We start from the raw sequence: 17,355 nt of genomic DNA, 5'->3' as shown, positions 1-17,355 counted from the left end.
CTCCCCACCCCTGCAGTTAAATAAGTGCCAGTTTCTACCTCTGAGTTCTTGGCCAACAAGAGGTCATGCCTGCTTGATGGCCAAAGACAGCTGGAAAGGAAAAAACAGTCTAAATGGTTTAATTTATAACTTAATTTAGGCCTCTAATGAAACTTGGTTACAGCCCCTGCATGGTGGATTTCCACACCCCATGCCAACAGCCTTGTCCTTCTGTGCCCGTTTCCCTCTTAGTTAATTTTCACTTTCCTGCTCCATTCCCGATGAGTGGACACTGTGACTGTCCATCTTCCTGAAGCAGTCATAGAAGTGAGACTTCCTCAGACTCTTGGAATGGGGCAGCTGGAAGGAGCCAAAAGGATCCCGAGCTCAGCTCCTTTGTGTGAGAATCAAGCAAGCTTGGTGGAGCTTGGGGTGGGGGAACAGGAGGTCACACTGTGGCCAAAGTCACACTGCAGATTAGTAGCAGGGCAGGATCTGGTTTCCTGTCTCCCAGGCCAGTGTTCTTTCCACAGCTACCAACAAGATTTTGATTGGCGGATACAGTAATTATAAACATAAACATTTACTAAATGCTAACTACATGCTAGGCAGCAAACCAAGTGATGCATGTGCATTAATTAATTTAATCCTAAAAATAATCCCATGATGGAATCATCATCCCTTTTTATAGAGGAGAAAACTGAGGCACAGAACAGTAAGTGGATACCCAGACACATGAGAGCAGATGTTTGAGACCCAGTAAGTGAGACCCAGACACGCAGAGCAGACGTTTGACTTTTCCTTGTGCAGATCTAGTTTGGGTTTCTTGTAGCTTCTTTTAGCTTGGTGGTCTCTGGCGGAAGCTAAGAATGAGGGGATCTGCCCTGGGCAGAGACCCCAGTCGGGGCTGTGGGAGGCAGCAGGGCCAGTGTTCTCCGACCCTTAAGGGAACCTGAGTCAGCAGTGCCATGACGGCCGTCACTGCAAAGAAACCAACTGCTTGGAGAACCCTCTGGAGGGAATCACACCTTCTCCCTGGTCCTCTGTCTCCTTGACTGAGGCCAAGAGATCCAGTGGCTGCCAGTGGCACAGTGAGGCACAGGCTGGGCTGGGGTTTCTGAGCAACTGCTGGCCTTTTCTATCACCATGTTCATTGTGTGCAGGTAAATGAATTCAGGCAACTCTTTTGGACCAAACTTAGGGTCAGATTGCTAACTACAGAGTCACATGGATGGTGCAGTAGAACTCGAATTAAAACCCTAGCACTAAGAATTCTTTGTCTCTATGCCCTGAGAGACATGTTTTCCTAAGTACATGACTTTTGTACATGACTTTTTTTTTTTTTTTAACTTCATTTGCAAGTAACAAATTGCATTCCATGTCTTAGTCAGGACTCTGCTCCTATCATCAGGCAAGTGGTTTGGCTTGTCCTTATTCTCCAGATGCAGACATACACACAGAGTCCCTGGATGGTTTGCTACCTGTGTTTCTTTTTCTTTTTTGGTTATATTCCAATGCCACATGCATGCTATGTTTTTCCTAGATCATTTTTTCTTTTTTAAAAGCTGCAGTCTGACCTATGAAATGAGAACTTCAGTGCTTGTGACAAAAATCAGTGATGAAGCAAACAGAAAATAGCCAGTAGTTGGCAGGTTTGAAGATCTGGGTGTGAGTACTAGCTGCCACCTACAGCAGTTTGACCCTGGACAAATCCTGTGACCTCCAGAGCCTCCCTTCCTCCTCTGTAAGATGGAGATGATGCTGGGCTGGCTTTGTCTCCCTTGCATGGTGGCTGTGAGGACCAAATGGGATGGAGGATTTGTAAGAACAGTATGCACTTCAATTTTATGGCGTCAGTGCCAGACAAGGGTAAAGGAATGATTAGACCCAACTCTCTAAGAGCTTCCCGATGAAGGACAATGGGAAAAGATTGGGTAACCCTAAAAATACATCATCCAGAGCCCGAATCTGACGGCTGGGATGCAGTCTCAGCACCCCTGCCCCTCAGCCCACCGGCCTGCTAGTGCACTGTATTCCGATGGTTGTGAGGGAAGGCCCTGTTCCCAAGTGGCCATGAAAAATCTACCTGGAGAAAACCAAGACCTCAGTTTAACAAAGCAAACTGGCTCAGACAGGAAAGTCATTTAAAAGAAGTGGGAAGAAGGCAATGGCTACAGTGATAAGTGCCGTAGAGTGAGAGAAGCCCTTCATCTCTGTTTTCAACAAGATGGAAGCAAGGCGCAGCAAAAGGAGAACCCTTGGTGGGGTTGGAAGAGGTGCCCCCAGGCGGGACTGCAGCTGGGGTGCCCCATGGGTGGGGTTCCAGGAGGCAGCACCAGCAGGGCCTCTGCCATCCCAGCAGGGCTAGTGAGGTCATCAAGTCCAGAAGGTGACAGCTGTCTTGGTGCTTGGGTCACCTCTACACATTCCTTCCCTTCTCAATAGGCCCCCAAACACTATTGTAACTTAAGGGGGGCTAGGCCTACACCCAGGGACCTGGGCTCTAGTCCCAGTTCTGTTTCTAACTTGCTCCTTGCCTTTGGGCCTCAGTTCTTCTCACCTATAAAACTGGAGTGACTACCCTCCTTACTGGGTTGGGTAAAAATGTGGCCTGATTCCAAGACTTACTGCTGGCACAGTAGTTTCGGACCATTTCTGCATCGCCCAAGGCTCTGTGTATTTTGTGTGCCTAGGAATAACCGTGGCTAGTGTTTATCATGTACCATGCATCAGGCATGGTACTAAGAGCAGTTGTCCCACAGTATATGCGGGGGATTGGTTCCAAGATCCCCAAGTATAGCAAAATCCATGCATACGCAAGGTTGGCAGTCGGTCCCGCAGAACCCTTGCATGTGAAAAGTCGGCCCTCTGTATATATGGGTTTTGCATCCTGCAAATACTGTATTTTTGATCTGTATTTGGTTGAAAAATATGCACGTATAGGTGGACATACACAGTTTAAACACATGCTGTTCAAGGATCAACTGTACCTTGTAACAGCGGTCCCCAACCTTTTTGGCACCAGGGACTGGTTTCGTGGAAGACAATTTTTCCACGGATGGTGGAGGTAGGGGGAGGATGGTTTTGGGATGAAACTGTTCCACCTCTGATCATCAGGCATTAAATTCTCACAAGGAGTGTGCAACTGAGATCTCTCACATGTGAATTCATAATAGGGTTCGTGCTCCTATGAGAATCTAATGCCACCACTTATCTGACAGGTGGCGGAGCTCAGGCGGTAATGCTCGTTCACCTGCCACTCACCTCTTGCTGTGAGGCTGGTTCCTACTGGGGCATGATCTGGGGGTCAGGGACCCCTGCCTTGTAAGCATTATCTCTTTTAATCCTCACAACCCCATGAGGTAGGCATGCGCATTGTCCGCATGTTACAGAAGAGGAAAGGGAGACAGAGGTTAACTCTGGTTTACACCTGCACATAATTATGTGGACATAATTATGAGCAGTGCTTCTATTCACTTAAAAAACATCCCAGGTTGGCTCTTTACCACCATGTTATGCTGCTTGTCAACAATATTCAATACTCCTCAAGCCTCTAAACCTGTCGGATTCCCTCCACACTCTATGTATTTCTCCATCCCACTTCCTGCTCTTACATCCCAGGGTCAACAATCCCCATTAATGAAGTCTGAGGCATGCCCCTTAGCTATATTATCTGATAAAATATGAGTTGAGTTCTGGGCCCTGAACACCCAACAGAGTACCTGATGTATGGGTGTCGGATGCTGAATGAATGAATGAATGAAGGAAGGAATGCATTAAGGAGCCATGTGAACACTCATGAACTCTTTGAGAATCACATAAATATTTCTCATCCCACTCAGGCTCTCACCTGGTTCCCCAAGGAACCTAAGTCAAAGGTATTGGAAAGGAGAGAAGTGAAACTCAGGCCATTGCTTCTATGGCATGCACCTGTGGGAACGTGCAGGATGCATTTCTGTGTAGATGGCTTTAGTGCAGGCACCAGCCAGTTCTCCCAACAGGGCCCTTTGGGAGTCTTTCACAAGCCAGCCCAGGGATTTCCCGTCTTTTTCTCCCTGAGTTTTCTCTGCACTCTCCACAATGTCTTCTCTTTTCTCTCGTTTTCCAATTTCAGCCTCAGATGAGAGATACAGACCTATGTCCATTGTACATCAAAGTAAAAAATCCTTTTGAAAATAATCCAAACAAGGCACCAATGTGAACAGGACAGTTCCATTGATGGGAAACACCTGAGGTTGTAATCGGGCCCTTCCTTAGAGGAGTGAGACCTCAGAAGAAACCCACAGCAGAAGGGGGCAGCTCTGACAGGGATTGAAAATGAATATGCAGTCTCCTCACTTCTCCTAACCCTTCGCCCTCTTTTTCTTGCCTTTGCTCCAGCCCTTAAAAACAGACCCACAGCAGAGCCCGGGAAAGCCCAGAGCCCCTAAAACCCACCACTAGTGTGATCTCAGTGTTGGCAAACACAAGTGGCTCCCTTCTCCTGCTGCAGAACTCAGAATCAAAAGTGGCAGAACTGTTAGAGATGGAGTGCGTGCATGTGGTTGAATTTGAAGGTAGATCATTACATAAACAAATGCCAGATCTGAGGAAGGCGCGTCATCCTGTCTCTGTTTCAGAAACTGTGATTTCCTAGTTATGAAGACAGGTGTTTTATGGCCTTGAGAAACCACCTCTGGCCACTGGCACCTCTCCCAGACTCTGGTCAGTAGTAAAAAACCCAGCCCCCTGCAGCTTCAGCACAGTGGTCGGGCCCTCAACTGGCCCAGTTTTCTTACTTGTCTCAATAACTCAGTGAGGCAGGTGCCACTCCTTCTGGATTTTTTTTTTTTTTTTGATGGAGTCTTGCTCTGTCGCCCAGGCTGGAGTGCAGTGATGCAATCTTGGCTCAATAGAACCTTCACCTCCCAGGTTCAAGCAATTCTTCTGCCTCAGCCTCATGAGTAGCTGGGACTACAGGCATGCACCACCATGCCCACCACACCTGGCTAATTTTTGTATTTTTAGTAGAGACAGGGTTCACCATGTTGGCCAGGCTGGTCTCGAACTCCTGGTGTCAAGTGATCCACCCACCTCAGCCTCCCAAAGTGCTGGGATTATAGGAGTGAGCCACCACAACCAGCCCGCTTCTGTTTTATAAACAAGGAGGCTGAGGCTCCTTTGGCAGACCTGGGAATCAAGCCCAGGTGTTGCTGATGCCAAAGTCAAAGTCTCTCAGGGTTGGGCTTTTAGTAGGCTTTGAGGAGGGAAGATAAGTTGTCCCTATCCAGAATTGATTTCTCTGTCTAGGCTTGGTCCTTGGAGCACTGAGATGCTTCCCGAGAAGCTGCTCAGAGCAAGGATGGAAGCTTCAGGGGTGACCCATTCAGGGTGAGCTCAGGATCTGTAAGGCAAAGAGCAGCAGCAGCAGAAGGTCCAAGACCCCAGGGTGCTGGGGTTCCCCTGAGGGTGGGACATGGTTGAGACCCATGAGAATGGCTGCCCCTGGAATTGTGCAAGGCACAGTCTGTGCAGGTGTGCACAGCTGCCCTGCAAGTGCCCAGCTGCTCATTGGACAAGCAGCTTATCTTCTAGCTCTCATTTCTAGTAAACCAGCACCCCTTCTAACTACCCATCCTTCCCTGCCCAGCCTGGGTGCCTTCCTTCTGATGGGGTCAGCTGGGGAAATCCTGATGTTTATTGGAAGTTACCAACCAGGGACTTGGCAGCACAGTATATAGTGGGTGAGCAGTTGAGGCAGGTGTCCAAGGGCTGGGCTGCTCATGTCCATTGAGGGTGGACAGACATTTGGGGGGCTGGTTCATCCAATAAAAGACCCCCATTGATCTCTTTAAACAGACAAGCCTTAGTGATCTGTAGGTAGATATCTTTTCTTCCTTCTAGAGGATGGGATGTGGCATTAAACTTCCTTCAGTTTGATTCCTAAGGGAGCCAAGACTACTAATGGTCTCCCAGAAGATTTTCTCCCCTTCTTCCATTAAAATGGAGTCATAGCTGGGTATGTGGCCACCTAACAAGTGACTGCATTCCCCAACCCTTCTAGCAGCTAGCTCTGGCCATATAGTATTCTTGACAATGGATGAGTGGAAGTAGTACTCCACCCCTGGACCTTAAAATACTGCTCATGCACATTGCCACAATCTTTCCCTTTCCAGTCTTTCCCTTGCCATGGATGTGTCTGAAATCAGCTTCAACCATGCAGACAAGGACAGCACCTCAGAGCGGTGGTTCTCAAAATCAAGGGTACATTAGAATCACCTGGAGGGCTTTCAAAACTACAGTGCTCCCCTATTAGAGATTCTGAGTAAGTCTGGGGTCATGCCTGAGACTCTGCATTTCTAACACGTTTCCAGGTGAGGCTGATGCTGTTGGTCTGGGGACCACACTTTGAGACCACGCACTGCCCTTGGGGATGGTAGACAAAAAGGGCAGGAACCTGGCTCCCTGTATGACTGTGTGGAGCAGAACAGCTTGCCTAGCCTGAACTGTTACATGAAAGAAAAAGAAGCTTCTTTGTTCTTTAAGCCACAGTCCTGTTGGGTTTCTGACACAGCAGTTCAGCCTTTGTTTTAACTAACTCCTATCCCTGGGGGTCAGAGTCTTTGTACAAATGTCCCTGCCCCACTGCCCCCTGCCGCCCCCCCAAAAGTACGCTTTAGCTCCACTTCTAGAAGCAACAAATTAGTCCTGTGTAAGACTAGTATAGTGAGCCAGGATACAATCTCAGCTGTTAAGATGCAACAGTTCAACCTAATGACCATGCATACTGTTTCTCAAGTCACATTTTCCTAGATCCTGTTTCCCTCTTAAGTTATTGCCAGATCTTTCTTCCTCTGAAGCTTCACTTCTTCATCCATTCATCCTGCACCCCACCACTGTCTGACCTCCTCCACCGCCCACTTAACCCAAAGTCACTTCCAATTGCCAGAGCCAAAGGTGGCTTTTCCTATCTCCTCCTGCTTCATCTCTGCTGAATTTGAAAAGTTGGTCACATCTTCTTTTGAAGCCTTCTCTCCCCACTGCTGGTTTCATGTTACCACTCTCATTGTATTCTTCTCCAAGTTTCCAATTTGCCTTGATCTGAACATCATGACCAAATCTCCAAAACTGTCCTTTCTTCCTTGGCCTCATCGACTCGTCCTCTTCCTGGTTTACACCTTTAAGGATGGCATTCCTTCCAGGGTGAGGTGGGGAACATTCTGTGCTTTGCCTCTTGTCTCCTCTTTGCTACCCCCATTTATGCCCAACTCCATCCACCTCCAACAAGCTGATGACTCTCAAAGCCTGCTGGGCTCCAGGCTCATGCCCATGACCACAGGCTCCCTAATATCCAGCACGCCCAAAACTAAGTCAGTATCTTCCCACTGCAACCCATCCATCTTGTATTTCTAATCTCAGTAAGTGACGCTCCATCCACCTATGCAGTGCTCACTCCTTTTTCTCAGCTTTATCACTTTCCCACCCCAACACTAAGCCATCCCCTTCTGCAGCTCTCCTCAATGAACATCTTGCGAACCCACCATTCCACTCTTCTCCCTGCTGCTGCCCTGCCTGAGGCTGCCCTCCTCATTTATCATTGTAGGGGTGTGTTTGGTGGTTCATGTATCTGTTTTCTCCCTTAAAATTAACCAGTTAATTATTAATTCATTGAACATCTGAGGCCTCACTACGTGGCACACAATGTGCTAGGTGCTAGAGATTCCCAAAGAAAAAGAATGAAGAAAAGAGAATGAATGAAGCTGTCCCTGACCTCAAAGAGCTCACAGCTGGGAAGACAGACACATTAATATCACTGTAGCACAACGTATGCAGCTCAGGAAGAAAAATGTGTGAAGGAGTACTGAAGAGGGAGCTGTGGGCAAGGGTTTTGAAGGAAGAGCAGGAATTAAGCAAAGAAGGTGACAGAGAAGGTATGTGCCAGGCTCAAGATTTCAGGATTTTATTTTGTAAGCAATAGGGAACCACTGGATTTTCTGATCCAGGGAATGAGACTTAGAGTCACCCACCACTTATGAGGTTAAATTAAAGAAACCCAAATGGTTCAGCAGGTTATAAACCAGAGCTGGCATTAGGGAATAAGCATCCATTTAGATGAGTTCTAAAAATACACTCAGGAGCCTGGTTCTCTGCAGGGATAATTGGGCATGTGTTAATCGATTTCCTGTGATTCTGCAAGACCATGGCAGAGACCATGTCACCTAGGACAGTCAAGGGCTGTCCAGCCTGGCCTATGGTCAGTCCATGGCAGCTGACCCAGGCTGCCTAACTGCACCAATGGACCCAGCTAGGGGAGCGGAGGAGGCTGCCGGTGACCCTAAGCCCATGCAGGAAAATCACTGCCTCTCAGCACTAAGAGCACAGGGTTTTAATTTTCACACAATGGGTCACAAAAATACTTTTCCAAAAGAACAACGCTATATAATAGCACTTTAGGAGGCCGAGGTGGGTGGATCACCTGAGGTCAGGACTTCAAGACCAGCCTGGCCAACATGGTGAAACCCCGTCTCTACTAAAAATACAAAAACTAGCCGGGCATGTTGGTGGGTGCCTGTAATCCCAGCTACTCAGGAGGCTGAGGCAGGAGAATTGCTCGAACCAAGTAGGTGGAGGATGCAGTAAGCTGAGGTCACGCCATTGCACTCCAGCCTGGGCGACAAGAGTGAAACTCCATCTCCAAAAAAAAAAAAAAAAAAAAAAAAAACCCACAAAGCATTGGCTAACATACTCACTGCTCCCTTGAAGCCCAGCTTAATTATAGTGAAGGGTACAGTCTACACTTTTTCCCACACTCAGAGAATGATTTCTGTGATAATTTCCCCAGTCTTCTTGACTGAATGGATGTATGATTTCTGTGGAGAAGAGCCACTCTTTCTTCACCCCATGGAGACATCTTGCATGAGGCCCTGTCTGGGTGGGAGCTGTTTGCTCACCTCTCCGCAGGGAAGACCGGTGCTTGGCACAAGGGGAATTTGGCTGGGGAGAGTGTGTGTTCTTGGATCACAGGAGAGGGGCAGGGGCTGAGGAAGTCCTTGCTTCCCATGATGACCAAAGAAAGGGGAATTGCCAAAGTGATGCAAGGGACATCTGCTGACAGCTGTGTTGTGTTTATAAAGGCAATGGCACACAGATGGGGGTGGGGACAGGCAGAGGCCTAGGTTTCAGGGGGCAGAGTTCTTAGATTCAGGAGGTCCCTCTCTACTTGCCAGCATCTCAGGAAAGTCACTGACCCTCTCTGTGACTCAGTGTCTTTATCTGTATACTGAGAAAGTTATTGTAATAGCAGATTCTTTCAAATAAATTTTTATGTAGAGCAGGGGTGTCTAATGTTTTGGCTTCCCTGGGCCTCATTGGAAGAAGAATTGTCTTGGGCCACACATAAAATACCCTAACACTAATGACAGCTAACGAGCTAAAAGAAAAAAATTGCAAAAAAAAAAAAAAATCTCATAATATTTTAAGTTTCCGAATTTGTGTTGGGCCGCATTCAAAGCTGTCCTGGACCACATGCAGGCCAGAGGTTTGACAAACTTGATGTAAAACCTCAGTATATAAGGCAGATAGAGCAGGACCTCTTTTGTTGAAGGGGTGTGTTAAGCCTCCCCAGCCATGTGGAACTGTAAGTCCAATTAAACCTCTTTTCCTTCCCAGTCTCAGGTATGTCTTTATCAGCAGCGTGAGAATGGACTAAGACGCCAGAGAAGCTGAGCCTGGATGGACTTTTTGGAGCCTGTATCCAGGCCCTGGGATCTGAGTCCATGTGACCACAACAAGGCAGACATGGCTGCCAATTCCAGCAGGTGCAGAGCAGGAGTCCTCTCTGGTTGGCTGTGCTCTGCCCCTCAGGCATGGGGCCAAGACAGAAACATCTGAAGTGGGTCTTCCCGGTCACCCCTGTCCACCTGGGCCTGGCCCACCCAACAGCTGGGGGTTAGTGCCTTGCAGAAATTTGAGAAGGCTAGAGAGTTGGGTAATCATGACTCTGAAAGCCAGCATCCACAGTCCCCCAGAGAGCCGGGCCAAAGTGGATGACACCTCCAGGTTCTGGGGACTCCCAGGTTTGGATTTAGGACTGAGACTGGAGCTAGAGGCCCATAGGCATCTCTACTTATGGGGGCCCCGGTGTGTGTTCACTGCTGTGTGTAGGTGTGAAGGGAAGGGGTATAGAACATGGCTCCTCATGGCTGTCTAGAGGACATGGGAAGCATTCTAGGCCTCAAATCAACAATGATCCCAACTCAATCTGAACCAAGAGCTCACCATCAGGCTTGACACAGGAGACCCAGAGTCTAAGACATAGGGGCCTCAACAACACTGCTGTCCCTTCCACTGGACAGGGTCCCCAGAGCAGCCCCTCCTAGGTCCACAGCTGCAGCCACTAGAGCTGCAGCCACTAGAGCTGCAACCACTGTTTGCTTGACCTGACAATTTCTGAGAGCTGGATGGGCAATGACTCTGGTTGGATGCTGCAGAGGACACCCATGAGCTTCAGGGAGAGGTCTTCAGTGGAGCGGCTCCTGCACCATCCTGGGCAGAGGTAGGGGGTGGCTTTCCTCCCCTTCCCCATCCCCAGTGCTGAGAGGAAGGAGCTGGAAGGGGGAACATAAATGTGAGCCTGGTTCTCTGATGTTTGGTTTAGGGGTTGGGCTGTCACATACATGGAGGGAAGATTAATGTCTTACTGGCTGCAGGACCTTGGGCAGGTCACCTAACCTATCTGAGCCAGTGTCCTGGTTTGGGGGTTGGCTGTCACATACATGGAGGGAAGATTAATGTCACTCTTACTGGCTGGGGGACCTTGTGCAGGTCACCTAACCTACCTGAGCCAGTGTCCTCCTCTGCCCAGTTAAATTAGAGGACAAGGATCACCCAGAGAGTGACTGTGATGCCCCAGCCTGTGCCTGAATTCAGTCAGTGTTGGTTGGATGTGCAGCTGCCTCTCCCCACTAGAGCAGCAGCTGCAGCCCAGCAAGGGGATGGTGGCAGTTTGTCATCCTGCGGCTCTGGCAGGGGTCAGTCAGGCTGGAGGAGAGTCTAGCCTATGGGGTGGAAAGAGGGGCTCTCCCACAAAAGCCTTCATTGTGGACCACGTCATTTCATGCTTAAGGACATTTACAACCTGCCCACTGGGAATCAGAAAGGCAGCGTCATTCCCTTCCAGGCATCAGGAATTGAATTTAAAAAGCCAAATGACTTAAAATCTCATCTCCTTTCCCAGATAGGAGGATTTGAACAATTTCTCATTTGCTTTCAAAATAGTCCCTATCTTGTCTCCGAAACAGGATACCATGGCGTAGCAGTAAGCCTAAAAGACAGTTCCTTCCATGGAGTTGTAACTTGGGGGCCCCTGAAATTGTATAAAGCATTTTTACCATCTATGTGCTGCGGTTCCATAGGTTTTAGTAGATCTCCAAAGGAGTTTGTGACTCCCTCACACAAACAGGGTATGAATCACTGATGTCCAACCCTTCCTTCTTTTTTGGGTAGGCACAGACAAGTCCTGAATTATCAACTCTCGAGAGAAGGACCATATGCCCAGCACAGTCGCAGAGACCTAGTGAGCCCCAGGGATGCTACTAGAGGAATAAAAACAGTTGAGTTAGCGACGTTGAGTGCATTGATGAGTAGTTGAGAGCAGCAATGACACTGCTCTGGTAAGAACAAAATACACGTGCATATATGCACTATGAAATCGGAATTGTGTAGTTTGGTGATTCTACACACGTTAAATGCTCAGAGTCTTTTAAACTGGCATTGCACAATATAAGGATGAACAGTAAAATTCATACTAATAATTTAAAATTTTAATTTTTCTTTACTTAGAATATCATTAAATAGTAAATAAAAATACCACATGACAAGTTGAGAGAAAGACCATGGAAAAAAGGAAAGGGCTTATATTTATAAAGGTATAAAGATAACTTTAATGGTATCTTTTCCTGCATTTTGAGCTAGGGTTCCATGTTTTCATTTTGCACTGGGTCCCACAAATTACCTATCTGGCTCTGGTTGAGTCTCCCTGAGGCACAGTCTCGGTGATGACTCATGAGCTCCTTCCTGAAATGTCCATTCAATGAACATTTATTGAATTCCTACTGTTTGCCAAGCTTTGCACTCGTTGCTAGGGATAAAAAGTCAATAAACAATTGTATTCTCAAGTAGGATAGGATGAGGACTCTTTTTTTTTTTTTTTTTTTTGATACAGCGTCTCACTCTGTCGCCCAGGCTGGAGTGCAGTGGTGCGATCTCGGCTCACTGCAACCTCCATCTCCCAGATTCAAACGATTTTTCTGCCTCAGCTTCCCGAGTAGCTGGGATTACAGGCACCTACCACCACACGCAGCTAATTTTTGTATTTTTAATAGAGACGGGGTTTCACCATGTTGGCCAGGCTGGTCTTGAACTCCTGACCTCAGGTGATCTGCCTGCCTCGACCTCCCAAAGTGCTGGGATTACAGGCATGAGCCACCGCGCCCAGCCAGGTACTCTAATTCTAAAAGCACAGTATAGGACCGTGGTTTCCAACTATCAAAACCCTAGTGCTTATCTATAAAAGGCAGCTCTGGGAGAGAAATCTCTACCGCATTTCAAGAACGCTCATAGAAACCTGAATTTCTACCTGACCAAAAGGCTTCAGTCAAGCTACCACACCAGCTATGTGATTAAATGTTTGCTAACTGTGCCAGACCTCAGACAAACCAGACAACACCAGTCTGCTTCTGTCCTTTGTCCTTTTTTCTTCTGAGCTTTTTAAACACACTAGAATCTGCTAGCAAGTGACCTCAACTGATATGTATCAAGCAGAAAGGAATCAAACTATCAGTTATAGGGTCTTTGATTATTAATCTTTTTAAGATAGAGAAACACATTCTCATTTATATTGAAGTTTGGCTGACAAAACCCTTTCAAAACACGAAGTACATATTAAAAAAAAAATGAATGCCTAAGCCAGGATAGGGCTGAGAACCACTGGGGGGTTTATCCCACACTACCATCAAGGAGGGTCCCCTACTCCCTTTCAACACAGACCAGGGGACCACCAGAGCAATTCTCATTTCCTGAACCTCTGTAACATCCTCAATTCTTGGTATTTTACAGCAAAAATCCTTAAGCCTCTAAGCAGGGCCATGTGCTTGTATGTGTGCAGGGCAGTGAGAGAGGGAGGGTGAGGCTGCCAGGATGCAGCCACTTCCCCCTCCATAGTTGTGAGTGGAAGTCGCATGGCCAGTTGGAAAAGCATCCCAGGGAGAAAGGGAGTGCTTGACTGGCCTGGGGCCTACCCAGCCCGACGCCACAGACCCCCTGACTACTACAGGGGAGACCAGCATTAGACAAGGTCCCACAGTAGTCACCACTCTTCAAGCCCCCTCCTTGCCATAAGACCTTTTTCAAATTCCTTCACTGTGGTCATCAGATACCTGGGCGCTCCGTACCCCTCTTCTGAGTTCAGCTTAGGCAGGCATCCATGCACCCTGCTACGAGTTGAGGTCATTTCCTCGATTTACAGATGAGGAAATTGAAGCTTAGCAAGGTCACATAACACACGGAAGGTCACACGGAGAGGAAGGGGCAGAGCCAGGATCTGTGCCTGAACCATCTGGCCCTAGAGCTGGGCTCTCCGGCCACCCTTGCTGCTGGCTGCCTCTGCCTGCCCTCTCTGCACACCTTTCCTTCTCGCAGCTCCAGCTGGGGCTTGGGTGAGTGCCACTTAGTCTGCACTCAGCTGTTTTCTCATCCCTTCCTGGGAATGAGTTTAATGTCCTCAACAATGAGTGCTCAGAGGTCGGGGGCTGGGTCCTTAATGCATGTCTCATAGCCTGGAGGTTCAAAGCTCACAGCAGGCACTTGGAAAACATACATGTACAGTGTATATTTGCTGCCCCCTTCCCAACTCCCTCTACCCTGTGGAGTGCCATCTTGTGAGTATAAACCTATGAGCCCAGAAACCCACCAGAGTCAGCAAGAGCAGGGCATCTACACGAAGCAAGGGCAGTATCAATGGAATGAACAGAGGGTCCAGTTCTCTACTCCCGACCCTTCTCTCCACAGTCTCCGTCCTCAACAACCCACCTAAACCAACCAAACAGAACACCACCACCTCCTCTATCATGGGCACGGTCATTAATGCTCCCCCTATGGGGCTTAGAAAAGGGTGGTAAATCTAGATTCTGAGCCCCAAACCTGGACATGGTGTTGGACACAGCAGCTGTGCTGCCACTTCCAAGTATATTTCTAGGAAAAGGCAGCACAAGAGACTATTTTACGTGGAGGAGAGCTTGGAAACCCCAGGAAACATGGCTGCTGTAAATACAGATCAGGGTCATCACATGTAAATATAGCCAGGTTTCATCACGTGGCTGTCGTCTACGCTCAGTAATCACTCAGAGACCAGAGTTCCTCAGCACTGCCAACTACTCAAGAAAAACATTGCTGAGTGGACATCTACTGGGGGTGAGGCACATCTGGGCAAGTATGCCTGGGAACACCCCCAATAGAGGACGATAACAGACAGAGTCACCCTAGATAGGTAGCTCTCAAATATCTGCGCACAGCTTGTCCACCTTGCAGATGTTTCGTGTCCTCCGTCTGGTGCCTGTCTCAGATATAGATGGGTTCGAGTTCTCACATAGCCCTTGTTGCTGTGTTGTAAGCAAAATCATTTCCATATTAACTCTGACCAAAATTCAAGAAATTAAACCAGTAGCATAAAAATAGCCATAGGATGAATTCCATGGCCAAGCAGAAATGGTTTGTGGAATAACCACTTTGTATGTCTGAATCCTGCCTATAATCCTCGTTGAGGGTCAAGTGCGGATTTCTTCCAGTTGCGGTACTATTATTTCTACTTGGAGTTGAAAAGACCCCTCTAAGTCTTCTGGTGCAACGGTTTTCTAGTTTTATTTTAGTGAGAGAGGCTTTTCTTCAAAGGAGATCCTATCTGAAAGCTGACATGTAACTTAGATTGACCCCGAGCTGCTGGTGTGAGGGACCTGGCGCCCTGCCAGTGGAGCCTGCTCTTCCCTTCCAGAGCTCCTGGGAGGACAATTTGAAAAACACATATGCACATCCCCTTACTAATTTATTCACTCACTCACTCATTCACAAACAATAATATCTCTTGAGCACCTACTGTGTTGCAGGTGGAGCCAGCAGGCAACGGCACAAAGGCAGTCCCGCTTTTGGTGAGCTCACATTGTAGTAGGATGTGGCAAAGCTAAGTTCAGACAGGTCGCAAGTGCTAGGAAGGAACAATGATGTGATCATGGCTGGGAGGTGGCTACTTTAGATGGGGGATCAGGAAAGGCCTCTCTGAGGAAGCAAAACACAGTTGAAAACAGAATGATAATCTGGAAAGATGCCCTGATTTGGACCAAAGAAGAAGCAGACCCAGAGAGGTGATGTGACCTTCCCCAGGCAGGGAGCTGAGCCGGGACCTGACCTGGGTTGCCGGCATCTCCCATCCAAGGATCTTTCCTTTTACAAACACTACTAAACAGCTATCACATACAAAGAAGTCTCAGTGACAGGTGACATCCGAGGGTGGACAAACCACCCAACTACATCCTGGAATTCGGTGCCGTCTGTGCATGACTTTTGATGCCTCCCTCCTTCTTCAGCCCAGTCCAGCGTTGGCCCTGGGTCTGAAGGCACTGTAACCCAAGAGATAGAACTTGGTGGTGGACACCCCAGGCCTGTGACCTTGGCTGGGAAAGCTTCTTCATCTCCTATCTCCCTGGCTACAAACTGTGAAGGGTGCTCCTTACTGCTTCATTTGGCGGCATAAAAAGAAAAGCAAGTTGGTGGTTATAAATGTCCTGGGCTCATCTGAAGAAAGGCTCTCTGGAAAGTCAAGGTGCTCTAGGCAGACTTAAAGACATCAACGCCAGTTTTCCTCTTGTTCTGCAGCACTCACACAAGAACTATGGGGAATCACACAGGCCTGTACATATTTTACACACGAGTCCAAAGGTGGGTATAAAATTCCTGCTATGCTGAATATAGTGGGAAACAGCACACAAATGCCTCCCTCTGCTACCCACAAACCAAACAGCTCTGGGCCACCTAAGCCCTCGCCAGACCACCAACTTGGCCCCTGTAGGCCAGTAGTGCCCCTTACCCTAGGAGTCTTAACTATCATCAAAGCATTTCCAGGCATTAATTGGAGCCTCCAGTCCCTTGGGAGACAGATGGGGCCAGTGGTTATTAGTCCCATTTTGCACAAAAAGCAACTGAGCCCCAGATGACCTATCTGTCCAGGGAACAATGCTACTGACACAGTGACAACCATTAAGTTCTGATTCAAACCTGTCTCCAGCCTCTAACTGCTGCTTTCCACTGCAATCCAGCTGCCCACAAATTGAACACAGACTATCCACTTTGGCCTAATACCACCCTCATTCTCTTCTTCACGCTCCCCCACACACACCCTATGCCCCAGAGTGCACTTATGAGTTTTTCCAGAAGCTGCCTCTTCTCCTCACCCCCCACCCCCACGCTCACCTCACAATACTTGCCACGAACTGGAGACCTCTGGAACACTTATTCCTCCTGCACACAGCAGCTTAGACTCAAGTTAAGATGCTGTCCCGCCAAGCCCAACTGGGCTGCCTCCCTTTCATACTTTCCACCAATTCACACATGTGCACACTGCACATATGGCTGGTGAAAAGGATACACCCCAGAACCTTCCATGCCTTCTTTCCACACGGAGCCGGCCAACTGCACATGCAGGGATGGGCACGAAAACACAGGTGACAGGGCCTACACAGCCATGTTGTCACAAATACACAGACGTGCCCAGAACATGAGGACATCCCTGCACAGGCAGACAGGCCCTCTGAAAGCAATGTGCACCAGATACAGCATTTTGGTGTAGCCATGAGAGGCAGCTACTCGAATTCAGGGTGGACAAAGAATGACATTTTCAAGAGGAACAGACATGCCCCGGGCACGCTGGACGGCACGAGGCCCTCAGAGGCCCAGAGCTCTCTCCCAAGGCACAAGTGCAGAAAGGCAGACTCATGCGCATAGTTATGGACACCGTGTTGCGTGTCCCATGCAGACACCAATACCTGCTCACATGCCCCGCGAGTGTCCCAGGCATTCCTGCCTCCTCCACTCCTCATCCCCAGCCGGCTTCCCTCTGCCCGCCCGGGGGAAGCTCGGGACAGTCTAGCTCGGGACTGCCGGCGGGGCGGGCAGCGGAGGTGGAGGCGCCTCTCCTGGACCCCCAGCCCCCTCCCGCGGCGCCCCCACTCCTCGGGCGCGCTTCTGCACTTACCCTGCCAGGGGCTCCGGAAGCGGCGAAGGGAGCTGCGCCTAGAGAGACTGAGAGCGGCGGCTCCCGGGGCCGCCCAGCCGCCCACCGCCCGCAGCCAG

The 17,355-nt window shown here is 48.7% G+C and overlaps 1 protein-coding gene across 6 annotated transcripts in view; it reads right to left on the bottom strand.

Annotated features, from left to right (window-relative positions):
- Window positions 1-17,306, bottom strand: part of TSPAN11 (tetraspanin 11) — an 89,755-nt gene extending 72,449 nt beyond the window's left edge. For 4 of the 6 annotated variants that reach the window (XR_001748709.2, XR_001748710.2, XM_011520679.3 and 1 more), the window contains exon 1: window positions 17,258-17,306. Coding sequence is in view for 1 of the 6 variants with exons in the window: in NM_001370301.1 (NP_001357230.1) it covers window positions 17,049-17,102 (54 nt within the window). In the remaining 5 variants the exon portion in view is untranslated. Of the gene's footprint in view, window positions 1-17,048; window positions 17,151-17,257 lie in introns of those variants that run through there. The other 2 variants (NM_001080509.3, NM_001370301.1) reach the window with 1 other exon arrangement.
- Window positions 17,307-17,355: the final 49 nt, after the last annotated feature.

The sequence above is a fragment of the Homo sapiens genome, chromosome 12 (assembly GCF_000001405.40).
Source record: "Homo sapiens chromosome 12, GRCh38.p14 Primary Assembly".
Lineage (NCBI taxonomy): Eukaryota > Metazoa > Chordata > Mammalia > Primates > Hominidae > Homo > Homo sapiens.
The sequence above is the reverse complement of the archived record's forward strand: the minus strand, read 5'-3'. Positions and strand labels throughout refer to the sequence as shown.